Here is a 17,419-nt window from a genome sequence, read left to right as displayed (position 1 = left end):
GAAAATAAGAGGAACAAGCAAGTGCATCCATCCCTGCCTCTCTCCGCAGTGAACTGATAAACCCATCAGTCTTGCCCGTGGTGCACCTGTTACATCCCCGGGAGGTGTTGGACACTGTGGGGAACAGCAGCCACCGCCAAATACTCAGCAACTGCCCTGTGCCTGGTGGGATGGTAGGCGTTTGTCAAAGTTTAAGCCTCACAACCCTGTAAGGGTCTCAGCCCCCTTTACAGTTGGGGAAACAGACAGCAATGGTCACTTGGCCAAGTCCTCTTGGCCTGTGGCAGGGCAGCTGGCTTCTCCAGCCCTGCTGCTCTTTACCCTCGCTCTGAGTGAGATGCGGTTTCTGCGCCACACGGCTCACAAGCCAGGGTAGGGAGCCGAGCATCTGCATAAAGCTCCCAGCACAGGGCAGCCCCAGACTGAGGCTCGGCTGAGTAATCCACGCGGCGGGAGCCGTGCTAGGAAAGTGTCTGCTCAGGCGAGAATTCAGGGAGGTTTGGGCAGGCCTTGAGGGGCGGACAGGACTGGAGAGGGAGGGCCTTCTGGGCAGAGGCATGGCGGGAGGGCTGTAGGCGGCAGTGGAGGGAGCTGCAGTTATCTGGGTGAGCAGGCAGCGGACAAGTGACGTCTCCCGGCCTGCTGCCCCAGGCCCCCCACAAGCCGCGTTCTGGGGCCGTGGCCTCCCCAGAGCAGATCAGTGGGGGCTGTGTGAGCAACACTGGGGGCAGCTGGGCAGCGCCTCCCTGGAGGCCCCTCTGAAATCCCGCCGGATGCTGGCAGGCTCCAAGGGGGCTGGACACCATCTTCTCAGGTTGAAGCAAGTCCTGGTTGAGTTCCTAGTCCAGGAGGTGGGATGGGTGAGGGGTGGAGGGCAGAGGAGAAACTGCGTCAGGGATGTGTCCGCCACCTTCATCCTCCAGACGGGACTTGGGAGCGGCTGCAGGAAACCCTGAGAGATTCCTCTTTAGGGAAGTCATCCAGCCCTGGGGTCCCCTTATGCCGGGAGCAGTGAGGACAGAAGAATGACCATCTATCTTGCTGAAAGCTCTGTGAGGGAGGAACGGAAGAACGGAGGGAGCTACGACCTTGACCATCCCCTGAGTGTCCATGGCCTCTGTGCTCCGGATGATGCCGGGGCTGCCAGGGACCACAGAGCCACCCACTGGGAGGCTGGGGGTTGGCCTGGCTCAGGGGCGTTCGTCAGCCATAGACACCCACAGCATGTGGTGGGCAGGGCTGGGAGGTGACACAGGAACTGAAAAACCTGAGAAGCTCCAGCCACTCCGCAGGGTAAGTGCCACCTGGGGTAAAATGATTAGCTGGTTCCAGCCCCTCCGCAGGGTAAGTGGCACCTGGGGTAAAATGACTGCCTGGAGCTGGCAGCTGCTTTCTCTGCTCTCCCCAGGGCCCTGCAGGGAAGCGTGGAAAGGCGGCACAGGGCTGGACCCAGAGGAGCTCTCAGATGCTGGACTGGACTGTTTCAGGGGTCATCTAGCCCATTCCCCGCCTCCAGGCGAGGATTTGCTTGAGCCTGGAAAGATGAAGGATCCTCCCAGTGCCGTCAAGCCCCGGATTCCACCTCCCTGTAGGTGGACTGCCAGCGCAGGCCCTGACAACGCAGAGAAAGACACAGGACCCAGCTGGGCCAGTGACAGCAGGAGCTCCTGGTGCCACAGGTGAGGGTGGGGACGCCTGGAGCACCATGGGGGTCCTGGTTTAGTCTACAGCAGGGTCTTAAAATAGGATGTAAGTGTTACATCTTGACACAGTGTACACATGCTGACACATATTAAAACAAATTTTACACAGCAGTATTATCCTGAGTATGAGTGACGCCTTTTAAGGAGTTTATATTCTATTAATTCCCTTTTTAAAATGCTGGTCCACATCCACTGAATTGATTTTATGACCTACTAATAATGTGTTATAACCCACAATTAGAAAGGCACCGTTCTAGGGCAGGGCAGAGGGAGACAGAAAAGAAAGAGAAGCAGAAAGGAAATAATAAGGACAAAGGGAAGGAAGAACAAAGTGAGGTCAGAGTGGAGGAGGGTGTTTTGTGGGAGGTCACACAAATGCCTGCCATGATGTCCCTTCAGCCCTCTCCTAACACAAACCACATCCCACTCTGTGTCTGCCCTTAAGTCTTTTCCATTGGACCCTGGGTTTATATTTTATTAATATAAAAGAATATATTTTTGGTGGAAGGGATATATAATAGAATATATATAATATATAGAGATAAGATAAATAGAATATATATAATATATAGAGATAAGATATATATAATAGAATATATAATATGTATAGATAAGATACATATAATAGAATATATATAATATATATAGATAAGATATATATAATAGAATATATGTTTGGTGGAAGGGCTATCTTTTTCACCTCTGTAAACCCACAGCTTCTAGCAGAAGAATTAGAATCAGGCAAAAAGCTTAGAGAACACCCCACCCCTAAGTCAAAAAAATTCTCATTTTGCAGGAATGGAAACTGTGACTCATAATAGCCAGCTAGTCAATGATTATTCCCCCCAGTCCCTGGCGCATCAAGATTTGCTGGTAGGTGGTCATAAGCATCATTTTTTTATTTCTAAAGTGAAGACAATGATATCTACTTTGGAGATTTAGTGGAAGGATTAGCAAAATGTACATCAAGAACAGTGTCTGGCCAAGGCAGGGTGTCTCACGCTTGTAATCCCAGCACTTTGGGAGGCTGAGATGGGTGGATCACCTGAGGTTAGGAGTTCGAGACCAGCCTGGCCAACATGGTGAAACCCTGTCTGCACTAAAAAAAAATACAAAAATTAGCTTGGCATGGTGGCGGGCACCTATAAACCTAGCTACTTGGGAGGCTGAGACAGGAGAATCGCTTGGACCTGGGAGGTAGAGGTTGCAGTGTGTCGAGATTGTGCCATTGCACTCCAGCCTGGGGGATAGAGCGAGACTCCATCTCAAAAAAAAAAAAAAAGAACAGTGTCTAGTACACCATAGAAACTCAATAAATAACATTTGCTAGTAATACGAGTAATAACCAGCCAGATGTGTTGGCTCACACCTGTAATCCCAACACTTTGGGAGGTCAAGGCAAGAGGATCTCTTGAGCCCAGGAGTTTGAGACCAGCCTGGGCAACATAGGGAGACCCCGTCTCTAAAAAAAACTTTAAAAATTAGCCGGGTGTGGTGGCCTGTGCTGTAATCCCAGCACATTGGGAGGCCGAGGCAGGAGGATTGCTTGAGTCTGGGAGGTCAAGGCTGCAGTGAGCCGAAATCATGTCATCGCGCTCAGCCTGGGCGACAGAGCAAGACCCTGTTTCAAAAAAAGAGTAACAGCCTCAGAATAGCACCAGTCACTTCAGGTATGCTACTGTTACTAACTTTTCAGGGAGTTTTGGCTGCAGATGTCTTCATCCTAGGCAATGGAAATCATCATAAATACCTAGATAATGTCCATAGAAATCAAAACAAAGCAAACATGCATACATACACCAGCAAAAAACAAATTCAAGCACACAGGCCTTAACAAATACCTTGGTTACATCAACTTTTTTGTTTGTTTGTTTTTGAGACGAAGTCTCACTGTGTCAACAGGCTGGAGTGCAGTGGCATGATCTCAGCTCACAGCAACCTCTGCCTCCCAGGTTCAAGTGATTCTCTTGCCTCAGCCTCCCAAGTAGCTGGGACTACAGGCACACACCACCATGCCCAGCTAATTTTTGTATTTTTAGTGGAGACGGGGTTTTACCATGTTGACCAGGATAGTCTCAATCTCTTGACCTTGTGATCCGCCTGCCTCAGCCTCTGAAAGTGCTGGGATTACAGGCTTGAGCCACCATGCCCGGATACATCAACATTTTAAGTGAGTGTACATTTTTGAAAAATGAATGGAATGATCTTACTCACCCACTGATTTTGCTCAGTATTTTGGGAAAGATATAATCCTCAGAGACTCTGGGCTTCTCCCAGTCTATGTGCCAAAATAAACGTAAAGAGTATGTGTAGAAATGGATAATATAAACGGGAAAGGGAGGGGCAGGAAAATTTATGATAATAAGAGCTCAAGAACGTTCTCTCTTTCCTCTGCAGATCTTTGAAATTCATAGTTTATAAATATAAATGTTTTGGGAAATTTAGTTTTACTGCTTAGTGTTTAGAATACTGTGTGGTTTTTCTTTACAAAGTGAATCTATTAACGAGCAAATTTAGTAGATAATTTAAATTATGCTAATCAGAAAACACAGCCTGGTGCTGCGGCTCATGCCTGTAATCCCAGTGACCAGGAAGGTTGAAGTGGGAGGATGGCTTCAGCCCAGGAGCTCCAGGCTGTTGAGCTATGATCACACTGCTTGCACTCCAGCCTAGGTAACAGAGCAAGACCCCAACTTTAAAAAACAAAAAACAAAAGAACACACTTTTTTGTAAATTAAAGATGGAAGTATTTTGGTCTAAATTTGTCTTTTCCCTTCCACTAGATGGCAGAATGGAGCCACTCTAGATAGTGCTACCAAGTTGGCAGCTCTTCCAACATTTTAAATGGTCAAACTGTATTTTTGTTTTGGTTCCCTCTCTCGTTTAATGAAAAAGAAAGGTAAACATTGCATATGCAAATTTCAGGACCATTTCACTTTGACTGAAAAAGCTGGAGCTGCCTTAAAGAAACTTCTTGGGCCAGGCGCCGTGGCTCACGCCTGTAATCCCAGCACTTTGGGAGGCCGAGGTGGGCGGATCACGAGGTCAGGAGATCGAGGCCATCCTGGCTAACACGGTGAAACCCCGTCTCTACTAAAAATACAAAAAATTAGCCAGGCGTGATGGTGGGCGCCTGTAGTCCCAGCTACTTGGGAGGCTGAGGCAGGAGAATGGCGTGAACCCATGAGGCGGAGGTTGCAGTGAGCCGAGATTGGGCCACTGCACTCTAGCCTGGGTGACAGAGCGAGACTCCGTCTCAAAAAATAAAAAAAAGTAAAAATACAGAAAAGAAACTTCTTGGCCGGGCGTGGTGGCTCACGCCTGTAATCCCAGCACTTTGGGAAGCCGAGGTGGGCAGATCAGGGGGTCAGGAGATCGAGACCATCCTGGCTAACACAGGGAAACCCCGTCTCTACTAAAAAAATACCAAAAATTAGCCGGGCGTGGTGGTGGGCACCTGTAGTCTCAGCTGCTTGGGAGGCTGAGGCAGGAGAATGGTGTGAACCCGGGAGGCGGAGCTTGCAGTGAGCCGAGATCTCACCACTGCACTCCAGCCTGGGCGACAGAGCGAGACTCCGTCTCGAGAAAAAAAAAAAAGAAAGAAAGAAAGAAAAAAAGAAACTTCTTATTCACTGTCTGAGGGGCTGAGTTCGGGCTTTATCCTTTAGAGAAAACTTGGCCAGTACCATTGTCCTAACATTAGTGAAACTTTACTCTGAGCCAGGTGCTGTGCTTCTCCCATCTCATTTACTCTTCATACGGAGACTAGAAGGTGTCACCTCCATTTTTTAAAACAAAAGATTAAATATTTGGCCAGGCGCAGTGGTTCACACCTGTAATCCCAACCCTTTGGGAGGCCAAGGCAGGCAGATAGCTTGAGGCCAGGAGTTCAAGACCAGCCTAGGCAACATGGCAAAACCCCATCTCTACAAAAAATTAGCCAGGCATAGTGGCACACACCCGTGGCCCCAGCTACTCAGGAGGTTGAGGTGAGAGGACCACCTGAGCCTGGGAGGCAGACGTTGCAGTGAGCGGAAATCATGCCACTGCACTCCACCTTGGGTGACAGAGAAAGACCCTGTCTCTAAATAAATAAATAAATAGTATTTAAGGCACTGAAATAAGGTAACTTATCCAAAAGGACAAAGCTGGTCTTTCTTGAACCTGGATCTGCAGGGTATCAAGCACTTCACCACCATGCTACTGCTGCTGCCTCGTGAGTGGTGAACTGCATGGCTAATTTCTGCCTAATCTGCCCCACTAGCAAACTAGGTCTCATGAAAGGAGGAGTCTCAAGATTAATCTAGGTTACTGGGCTACATCCGGACCTTTTGCAAAGTTTTGCTCTGTGAACCAGAGTTTAAACTTGTACATTTAGACTGGTGTATCTCTGAAGTGTGTATTTCTTTTCCAAACCAATGTAGGGCCAAAAGGAATCAGAGTTGCTAATAATCACTGAGAGAGAATTAGTATCTTTCTTTTTTTGTTTTGTCTTGTTTTTGAGATGGAGTATTGCTCTGTCACCAGGCTGGAGTGCAGTGGTGCTATCTCGGCTCACTGAAACCTCCGCTTCCCGGGTTCAAGCGATTCCCCTGCCTCGGCCTCCCGAGTAGCTGGGACTACAGGTGCGCACCACCATGCCTGGCTAAGTTCTTGTATTTTAGTAGAGATGGGGTTTCATCATGTTGGCCAGGATGGTCTCGATCTCCTGACCTCGTGATCTGCCTGCCTTGGCCTCCCAAAGTGCTGGGATTACAGGTATGAGCTACCGTGCCCAGCCAAGTATCTTTCTTATAAAAATAAAAAATACCAGCTGGGCGTGGTGGCTCGCACCTGTAATCCCAGCACTTTGGGAGGCTGAGGCAGGCAGATCACTTGAGCTCAGGAGTTTTAGACCAGCCTAGGCAACATGGCAAAACCCTGTCTTTACTAAAAATACAGAATTTAGCTGGGCATGGTGTAATCCCAGCTGCTTGGGTGGCTGAGGCAGGAGAGTCACTTGAACCTGAGAGGCAGAGGCTGCAGTGAGCCAAGATCGTGCCACTGCACTCCAGCCTGGGTGACAGAGTGAGCCCTTTCTCAAAAAGAAAAAAAACTTAAATTAAAAAAAAATTAAAAATACCTTGTAGTAAGCTTAGAAAATCAGTAATCTGCATGAACTCTCAAAATGTTTTGCTGAGGCAGGAGGATTGCATGAGCTCAGGAGTTCAAGGCTGCAAGGCCCTATGATTGTATCACTGCACTCCAGCCTGGGCAACAGAGTAAGACCCTGTCTCTAAAATGTGTGTGTGCCTGTGTGCGTGTGTAGTGTCTACCCAAGCCAGCAATTTTTGCATGTTTCACACAGAGACTTATTTCAGGCTGAAAGGAAAAAAAAAAATCAGCACTCAAATGAAAAACAATTTTAACTTATTTTATATATACACCTATTTGAGTAAGCAAGTATTAAAGGAACTAGGCCACCACACACATAAAATGCTGTTACCACGTATTTACATATATATATTTGCTCTTCTTTTCTCTTTCATACATTCAGAAAAAGTTGCTTCAGTCCCTGGCTCACTTGGTCCTGGCATCCTCTCCCACTTCTCCAGCCCATCCTACTGAGTTCCCTGCATACTTTGATTAGGGTCCAACCAAGTTTTAACAGCCAGCTCTGTTCATATTGAGTTAAGCAGTATCAGTATGCCCACCAAATTCTCCAGTCTTCTATGTGTTGCAAAAAGAAGAGAAATGAGCCCAAACTGTGTAAGTTTGTGGAGGAAAACTCACACATTCCCGGGACAGTGATCATATTCTTCGTTCGCGTGTTGTCTCAGGTCTACAAAGAAAGCCATCTGTGAGCTCAGCCTCCAGGGGCTCCGCATTGCCTACAACAGCACAAAAGCCAAACCCTTCAGCCCAATATTTGAGGCCTACCTGCCCCCAGTCTTATTTCCTTCCACCCTATCCCTGACTCTCCCAGGCTAGGCTCCAGATCATCACTGAATGTGCTCACTTCGAAGCAGCTCTGTGATTTTCAAGGTTCCTGGGCTCACCTTTTACTCCCGATGTGACTGCCACGTGTTGCCCCGTTGCTAGGATGGGACAGTGGCCTTGATTTCTGCCAGGACTGAGGCTTTGCCTTGTTTCCCACCCACCCCGCTGCCTGCCCCTGCACTCTTCTGGGTGGGGCCTGATCTTTCCCCGCAGTCTCCCTACACCTCCCGATCACAGATAGTCATGCCACAGCTGAGGAGCTTGTCCTAAACCTCAGTACCTGCCTCTCTCCTCAGCTTCTTGTGCTGCTGTGTCTCACCCATCAGTGACGCTCTTCTCTTCCCTGCCCAAGCCCTAGCTGACTCCATCATCTGGTACAATGTCCTCTTCTGCCTGGTTATCTCTGAAAGGCCCTCTCTCTACATCCCTCATTGGCTCCCAGTGTCCTTCCTCTCACCCATGGCCCTGAGGTCCCTGTATGCTTTGCCCAGTGTATAGGGTTATTATGCTTAACAATTCCCAAAGGTTGATAGGTATTGTAGGGTGGTGTAAGAATGAACTGAGGTGATAATATTTATATGTTAGAGCTTTGTAAAGTGCTAGACAGATGTGAGGTACTGATATTTCCCAGTATTCCTGATCTTGGAATCATGGACACCACCCTCCCACCATTGCCTGGATACCCCTGAGACTGCATTCTGCTCCTAGAGTCTCATCCCCTTTTAGGCACTGGCTCCTGCTCCCTCACCATCCACTGTAGATCCCTGCTGAATTCTTAGAGCCCTCGCTGTTTGCATCACTCACCATGACATATCATCAGACCCTGCTAGTGCACCAGGCACAGGAGACTCCGCTCTGCTGTCAACAAGCTGTATGAAATTGACCCCCCGCCTGCATTTCTGTAAAAGGAAGGGACTGGGACAATACCTCTGGGCCTTTTAGTTACAATGATTTACATACAGTAGCCCCCTCTTACCCGCAGTTCACTTTCTGCAGTTTTAATTACCCTCAGTGAACCGCAGTTCAAAAGTGTTAAATGCGGCTGGGCGCGTTGGCTCATGCCTGTAATTCCAGCACTCTGGGAGGCCGAAGCGGGTGGATCACCTGAGGTCAGGAGTTCAAGACCAGCCTGGCCAACATGGTGAAACCCCATCTCTACTAAAAATACAAAAATTAGCCTGGTGTGGTAGTGCGTGCCTGTAATTCCAGCTTCTAGGGAGGCTGAGGCAGGAGAATTGCATGAACTTGTGAGGAGGACGTTGCAGTGAACCAAGATCACGCCATTGCACTCCAGCCTGGGCAACAGAGCGAAACTCCATCTCAAAACAAGCAAACAAACAAACAAAAAATATTAACTGGACAGTACAGTACAGTAAGATATTTTGAGAGAGAGGCCACATTCACTGAACTTTTATTACAGGATGTTGTTATGATTGTTCTGTTTTATCATTATTGTTGTTAATCTGTTACTGTGCCTAATTTCTAAATTAAACTTTATCAGAGGTATGTACGTACAGGAAACAACATAGTATATGCAGTGTTCAGTGCTAGCCGTGGTTTCAGCATCCACTGTGGGTCTTGGAACACATCCCCCACAGAAAAGGGGGGACTACCATATATCGATTTTTTTTTTCCTCTTCATCTAAACTTCATGCTTTTGATTTCTACCCACAACCTAGAACACAATGCCAGGCTCACATGGGACCCTGTAAATGAGGTTCTCTATTGGTAAGTGAATAGTGGATTTGTCCAACTGATAATAGTTTGGACATTCGTCCCTGCCCAAATCTTATGTTGAAATGTAATCGCCAGTGTCGGAGGTTGGGCCAGGTGGGAAGTGTCTGGGTCATGGGGGCGGATTCCTCATGGCTTGGTGCCGTCCTCACAATAGTGAGTGAGTTCTCACAAAATCTAATTGTGTGGCACCTCCCCCACAACCCAACCCCCTTGCTGCTGCTTTCGCCACGTGAGATGCCAGCTCTCCCTTTGCCTTCTGCCGTGAGTAAAATCTCCCTGAGGCTTCTCCAGAAGTGAAACAAATCTTGGTGCCATGCTTCCTGTATAGCCTGCAGAACCGTGAGCCAATTCACCTCTTTTCTTTATAAATTACTCCGTCTCAGCTATTTCTTTATAGCAATGCAAGCATATCACCTACTGATATGGTAAGGTGATTTTTTTTTTTTTTTTTTTGAGACGCAGTCTCACTCTGTAGCCCAGGCTGGAGTGCAGTGGCGATCTCGGCTCACTGCAAGCTCCACCTCCTGGGTTCACGCCATTCTCCTGCCTCAGCCTCCCAAGTATCTGGGACTACAGGCACCTGCCATCACGCCTGGCTAATTTTTGTATTTTTAGTAGAGACAGGGTTTCACCATGTTAGCCAGGATGGTCTCTATCTCCTGGTAAGGTGATTTTTCAACACACCTACTGATATGGTAAGGTGATTTTTCCATTTGCATGTACCTAATTTATATTTTCATTTTCCATCTCATAACAACTGAATTGTTTTCTGGGAGAAATTTAGTTAGAATATTGAATCGTGTTGTGAAAGGCCACTCTCTTAGTCCATTTTGTGCTGCTATAAGAGAATACTTGAGACCGGGCAATTTATAATGAACATAAATGTATTGGTTCACAGTTCTGGAGGCTGGAAAGTTCAGGATCAAGGAACCAGCATCTTTCAAGGGCCTTCTTGCTTAGTCATCACAGGATGGAAGGGGGAAGGGGAAATGTGCAAGAGCAAAACCACTCCCCAAAGCCCATTTTATTGCAGCATTACTCCATTCAGGAGGGCACAGCCCTCATGATCTAAACACCTCCCACTAAGCCCTACCTCCCAACACTGTTGCATTGGGAATTAAGTTTCAACATGAGTTTTGGAGGGGACAAAAACATTTAAACCATAGTAACCACTAACCCAAAACCTCCACATTGCATAAATACAGATTCCCAGACACCAAACCTACAGATTCTGATTCATTATTTCTAGGCGGGGACTGGAAATCTGCACTTGTGACAAGCCCCATAAGTGATTCTGTTGCCGTGGCCCTAAACCATTCTTTGAGAAACACTAGGAAGTAAGGATTTTTTAAAACAATCCAGAGAGCAGAATTTTGTTTTTGGAGGAAACAACTAAAATTTTATTTCTCTCTGTGGAAAAGGTTGGTTGATCTCGTTGAGGGGTGATGCCACAGGGGGAGAGGAGTGGTCATCACTGGCTTCTGTATATGTTAGGAATTTCAGCAGTGAAAGTTCTTTTTTTTTTTTTTTGAGATGCTCTGTTGCCCAGGCTAGAGTTCAGTGGCACGATCTAGGCTCACTGTGACGTCTATCTCCCGGGTTCATGTAATTCTCTTGCCTCAGCTTCCCCAGTGGCTGGGATTACAGGCGTGTGCTACCACGCCCAGCTAATTTTTTTTTTTTTTTTTTTTTTTGAGATGGAGTTTCTCTCTTGTTGCCCAGGCCGGAGGGCAATAACACGATCTCAGCTCACCACAACCTTTGCCTCCCAGGTTCAAGCGATTCTCCTGCCTCAGCCTTCCGAGTAGCTGGGATTACAGGTGTATGCCACCACGCCTGGCTAATTTTGTATTTTTAGTAGGGACAGGGTTTCTCCATGTTGGTCAGGCTGGTCTCGAACACCCAACCTCAGGTGATCCACCCGCCTCGGCCTTCCAAAGTGCTGGGATTACAGGCGTGAGCCACTGTGCCTGACCATATTTTTGGATTTTTAGTAGAGACAGGGTTTCACCATGTTGGCCAGGCTGGTCTCAAACTCCTGACCTCAAGTGATCCACCCACCTCAGCCTCTCAAAGTTCTGGGATTACAGGTGTGAGTCACCGTGCTCGGCTAGCAGTGAAAGTTCTAACATATACAGTCTAACCTTCTGTCAGGTTAGACTATCAGTAGTGCAGTAGCTATAACAATTCATGCTGTTGGATTCATGTATAGTGTCCATCTTTGCCACCATGACTACCGTGTTCATCAACTTATTATGCCAACACTAGGGCAGCTGAGGGAAGAAGGTGGCTGAGAATAACTGGAAAAGCCATTCTGTTTCATTGCTTGATGAGTGCCTCCCCCATAGGAAATGCTGTCTGCTGGGTGTTAACATATGTTACAAAGATGTTCACATTCCATTCCCGCTGCCTTAGTACACTTGCCACGCATCTCTTCCCCAGACACCTTCATCCCTGATCTTCCAATCTTCCTCCTTTCAAGTCCCTGACCAACTGGCCAAGTTACTTACGCTGACCATGAGTCTTCTGTATGACCTTGCCTCAGGCCCCTTCTCTGCCTTCACAAAGTGGATGAACAGATGCCCTGTGTGCTGCTCTGTCATTAGGAGGACACTCCTTCACTGCTGTCCCTGAGGTCTACCCTTAAGTGAAGCTGTAGCACAGCAGCTGCCCATTTTTGTCTGATACCTACGTACCAACGGACCCATCCACGAACCAGGCTTAGCCTTTTTCTCCTCTGTCAGCTGGTCATAGGAATCCTCCACGTATTCTGCGCCAGGCAGACTCTAGAGTGGCTCCCATGGTCCCTACCTCCAGGTGTTCACACTTGTGGATAATCACCTCCCCTTCGGTGCTGGTGGAGTGGAGAAGAGGGTGAAATGATGGGGGATGAGGGGAGATATGTGCTGTCTTACAAGGCAGAAGCTTGTACATATATCCTTAAGAGAGGAGCATCAGCACTTAACAGAGAGGAATGGGCTACTTCTGTAGATCAATAGCATTCAGAGGAATCTGGAAATTTAAGATTTTCAAATGCATTGACCCAGATGGCCCCATTTCAAGTCTCAGCGTCTCAGTTTTTTTTTTTTTTTTTCCCAACAGGGTCCTGAACTTGGTGTGGTAGATTTACTGGAGTTGAGAATTTAACCTTCTCTCAAACCCTGCCACTAATATAATTGATTTTTGGGGTCTGGCTCACAGATTGTTTTCCCCTCTGGCTGCAGGATATGTGAATAATTTTATATGCTGCCAAATAGACCTTCTGGCTTTTTTTTTTTTTTTTTTTTTTTTTTTTTTTTTTTTTGAGATGGAGTTTTTCTCTTGTCGCCCAGGCTGGAGTGCAATGGCATGATCTCGACTCACTACATCCTCCGCCTCCCAGGTTCTGGTGATTCTCGTGCCTCAGCCTCCTGAGTAGCTGGGATTATAGGCGCACGCCACCACACCCGGCTAATTTTTGTATTTTTAGTAGAGACAGGGTTTTGCCATGTTGGCCAGGGTGGTCTCAAACTCCTGACCTCAGGTGATCTGCCCACCTCAGCCTCCCAAAGTGCTGGGATTACAAGCGTAAGCCACTGCTCCCGGCCAGACCCTCTGGCTTTCATCCTTGGTCTCACTGGCAATTGGTGACACTCGACCCTTCATTATCTTTAAGGAATTAGTAACATCCCCCCCAGCCATGTCCACCCAATTCCAAAGTTCTTATAATTACTCTTTCTTACAACCCCTGAGATATTACATCTGCTATGCATTTCCTTCTCCTGGCACCCCATTCCAGTTTGCCACTGATGAACATTTTAACAATTGCCATAGGATGCCGGGGGCCGTGGGAGCTCCACCACCACCAGTGATGGGGTTTCTGTTACCAACAGGTTGGGAGGGGATACAGCTTCAAAATCCCGTCTCAGAGCCTTTTTCAAGGACCCCTTCTGGGTTGGATTCCTTAGGAAACAGATTTTGCGATTTGCCTGCAGGCTTTTAATGGTGTGGTACTCTAAGAATCAACACATGAGAGGGATGAGGGAGGCAGGACTGGGCAGAAGTTGTATTGTGATGCAGGTGCAACGAAGATCTGGAGCTTGAATAACGCATAAGAACTGTGCCACCTTAAGACAAAGGGCTAAACCTTTATACCCCTCTGTCGTTGTCCATTTTGTCGCTATAACAGACTGTCAGGCCGGGTAATTTATTAAGAAAAGAGATTTCTTGCTCCCTCTCCCTCTCTCTCTCCCTCTCCATCTCCCTCTCCCTCTCCCCACGGTCTCCCTCTCCCTCTCTTTCCACGGTCTCCCTCTGATGCCGAGCTGAAGCTGGACTGTACTGCTGCCATCTCGGCTCACTGCAACCTCCCTGCCTGATTCTCCTGCCTCAGCTTGCCGAGTGCCTGCGATTGTAGGCGCACGCCACCACGCCTGACTGGTTTTCGTATTTTTTTGGTGGAGACGGGGTTTCGCTGTGTTGGCCGGGCTGGTCTCCAGCTCCTAACCGCGAGTGATCCACCAGCCTCGGTCTCCTGAGGTGCTGGGATGGCAGATGGAGTCTCGTTCACTCAGTGCTCAATGGTGCCCAGACTGGAGTACAGTGGCGTGATCTCGGCTCGCTACAACCTCCACCTCCCAGCCACCTGCCTTGGCCTCCCAAAGTGCCGAGATTGCAGCTTCTGCCTGGCTGCCACCCCGTCTGGGAAGTGAGGAGCGTCTCTGCCTGGCCGCCCATCGTCTGGGATGTGAGGAGCCCCTCTGCCTGGCTGCCCAGTCTGGGAAGTGAGGAGCGTCTCTGCCCAGCCGCCATCCCATCTAGGAAGGGAGGAGCGTCTCTGCCCAGCTGCCCATCGTCTGAGATGTGGGGAGCGCCTCTGCCCCGCCGCCCCGTCTGGGATGTGAGGAGCGCCTCTGCCCGGCCGCGACCCTGTCTGGGAGGTGAGGAGCGTCTCCACCTGGCAGCCACCCCGTCCGGGAGGGAGGTGGGGGTCAGCCCCCACCAGGCCAGCCGCCCCGTCCGGGAGGGAGGTGGGGGGGTCAGCCCCCCGCCCGGCCAGCCGCCCCGTCTGGGAGGGAGGTGGGGGGGTCAGCCCCCCACCCGGCCAGCCGCCCCGTCCGGGAGGTGAGGGGCGCCTCTGCCCGGCCGCCCCTACTGGGAAGTGAGGAGCCCCTCTGCCCGGCCAGCCGCCCTGTCCGGGAGGGAGGTTGGGGTGGGGGGGTCAGCCCTCCGCCCGGCCTGCCGCCCCGTCCGGGAGGTGAGGGGCGCCTCTGCCCGGCCACCCCTACTGGGAAGTGAGGAGCCCCTCTGCCCGGCCACCACCCCGTCTGGGAGGTGTGCCCAGCGGCTCATTGAGAACGGGCCATGATGACAGTGGCGGTTTTGTGGAATAGAAAGGGGGAAAAGGTGGGGAAAAGATTGAGAAATCAGATGGTTGCCGTGTCTGTCTAGAAAGAAGTAGACATGGGAGACTTTTCATTTTGTTCTGTACTAAGAAAAATTCTTCTGCCTTGGGATCCTGTTGATCTGTGACCTTACCCCCAACCCTGTGCTCTCTGAAACATGTGCTGTATCCACTCAGGGTTGAATGGATTAAGGGCGGTGCAAGATGTGCTTTGTTAGACAGATGCTTGAAGGCAGCATGCTCGTTAAGAGTCATCACCACTCCCTAATCTCAAGTACCCAGGGACACAAACACTGCGGAAGGCCGCAGGGTCCTCTGCCTAGGAAAACCAGAGACCTTTGTTCACTTGTTTATCTGCTGACCTTCCCTCCACTATTGTCCTATGACCCTGCCAAATCCCCCTCTGCGAGAAACACCCAAGAATGATCAATAAAAAATGAAAAAAAAAAGAAAAAAAAGAAAAGAGATTTCTTTAGCTCACAATTCTGGTAGCTGCAAAGTCCAAGAGCATGGCGCCAGGCTGTTCAGCTTCTGGTGAGGGCCTCATGCTGCCTTATGACATGGAGGAGAAGCAGAAAGGTGAGCAGGCACGTGCTGAGTGAGGGGACCAAGGAGGCTGACCCACTTCATAACAACTTGCTCTCTCAGGAGCTAATCCATTTCCATAAGAACGAATACAATCTCCCAGGAACAAGAACTCACTCACTATCTTGAGAATGACACCAGTCTATTCATGAGGGATCCACCCCAGTGAGCCAAACACCTCACACTAGGCCCCACCTCCACACTGGCAATTAAACTTCAACATGAGTTTGGGCGGGAACAAACCACATCCAAACTGTAGCATCCTCCTAGACTAGCCCTTGGAGGTGGGCTGCCTCCACAAAAGGAATGCAATTTTTGATAAAGTGGTTTTGTTGGCTGAAGACAGTTGCTGGACAGGGACTCATTCAAGAGTTGGCCAGCAACCCTCCCAGCAGCTGGGGGAGTGAGTATCTCAGTCCTGAAAGGTAGCATACCAGAGCATCCACTACACCTGCATTTTCTGATTTTTTTTTCTATTTATTTGTTATTTTTCTAGAGATGGGGTCTCAGCTGTGTTGCCCAGACTGGTCTCAAACTCCTGGGCTCAAGTGATCTTCTCACCTTGGCCTATCAAAGTGCTAGGGTTATAGGCATGAACTACTGCACTCAGCCTGCATTTTCTGATTTCAAAATGACACTATCATCCACTATCTGATCTTTTCCACTCCTGACAGCTCTCTTTTTTCATTTGCTACCCAAGTCTTTTCCTTTCCTAGTGACCTTATAAAATATCATCCAGGCCAGGCACAGTGGCTCACGCCTGTAATCCCAGCACTTTAGGAGGCTGAGGCGGGAGAATCACTTGAGGTCAGGAGTTTGAGACCAGCCTGAACAACGTGGTAAAACCCTGTCTCCACTAAAAATACAAAAGTTAGCCACGTTTGGCAGCATGTGTCTGTAATCAAGTGGCTGAGGCACGAGAATCACTTGAATCCAAAAGGTGGAGGTTGCAGTGACCTGAGTTAGTGCCACCGCACTCCAGCCTAAGCAACAGGGTGAGACTGTGTCTCAAAAAATTTAAAAAAAAACATAATCCAGGGCCAGAGGCAGTGGCTAACACCTGTATTCCCAGCACTTTGGGAGGCTGAGGTGGGAGGATCCCTTGAGCCAAGGAGTTCAAGACTAAACATAGGGAGATCTCGTGCTCTCTCTCTCTCTCTTTCTCTCTCTCTCTCTCTCTCTATATATATATATACACACACACACACACACACACACACACACACACACATCATGCAGGTACAGTTTTGTATCATCTGTTTCAAAGGGCAACGCACTAAATAAAGCTGTACTCAACTTTTGAAAGCCCTCTTTTAAGATTAAAAAACTTCACAGGGTCCAGGCACGGTGGCTCACACCTGTAATCCCAGCACTTTGGGAGGCCAAGGTGGGTGGATGCCGAGGTGGGCAATCACGAGGTCAGGAGTTCGAGACCAGCCTGGCAAACATGGTGAAACCCCATCTCTAAAAAAAAAAATACAAAAATTAGCTGGGTGCAGTGGTGCACACCTGTAGTCCCAGCTACTTGGGAGGCTGAGGCAGGAGAATCACTTGAACCTGGGAAGCGGAGGTTGCAGTGAGCCAAGATTGAGCCATTGCACTCCAGCCTGGGTGACAGAGTGAGACTCCGTCTCAAAAAAGAAAAAACAGAAATAAAACAAAACAAAAAAACTTTACAAATCTCCACATAATAGTATCATAGTAGTAACTGAATGAATGCCCATTACAATAAATAATAAAAGCTATTATAAACTTGTTAAACTGGTTTAATCATGTGAACACCCACATATGTATGACACAAAAAAAGATAAGTATTTATATAAGGACATTTCTTGTTCTGGTGAGAGAGACAATGCTTGGTGTGCACACAAGTTCTTCAACTACCTGGATTAGGATGCTGCCTATAATTGTGTACAATAACGGAGTAGTCAGCTGAGGGGCAAGTGGAGATAGAAATCCAGCCCAATCTCTTATCACCAAGTTTTTCATCCCACCAAGGGCTGAATGTACCTGCAGAAAGGTGGCATTTTTT

The 17,419-nt window shown here is 48.5% G+C and overlaps 1 long non-coding RNA gene across 1 annotated transcript, besides 1 other annotated feature; it reads left to right on the top strand.

Annotated features, from left to right (window-relative positions):
• Nucleotides 1-599: 599 nt before the first annotated feature.
• LINC02043 (long intergenic non-protein coding RNA 2043) lies at nucleotides 600-15,241 on the top strand. Its single transcript, NR_125409.1, has 4 exons — nucleotides 600-814; nucleotides 1,409-1,679; nucleotides 2,500-2,576; nucleotides 13,973-15,241. It is a non-coding gene; the product is annotated as a long intergenic non-protein coding RNA 2043 (long non-coding RNA).
• Nucleotides 14,292-14,394: a silencer, noted in NCBI's record as "fragment chr3:186529516-186529618 (GRCh37/hg19 assembly coordinates)". NCBI's record gives its function as "represses an EF-1alpha promoter that drives an FKBP-Casp9 reporter gene in an ReSE screen in HepG2 liver carcinoma cells {active_cell/tissue: HepG2}" and the evidence as "EXISTENCE:reporter gene assay evidence [ECO:0000049][PMID:32094911]".
• Nucleotides 15,242-17,419: the final 2,178 nt, after the last annotated feature.

This window comes from Homo sapiens, chromosome 3, assembly GCF_000001405.40.
Source record: "Homo sapiens chromosome 3, GRCh38.p14 Primary Assembly".
In the NCBI taxonomy this organism is placed as follows: Eukaryota; Metazoa; Chordata; class Mammalia; order Primates; family Hominidae; genus Homo; species Homo sapiens.
Note: the sequence above shows the minus strand (reverse complement) of the source record. Positions and strands in the feature narration are given on the sequence as shown.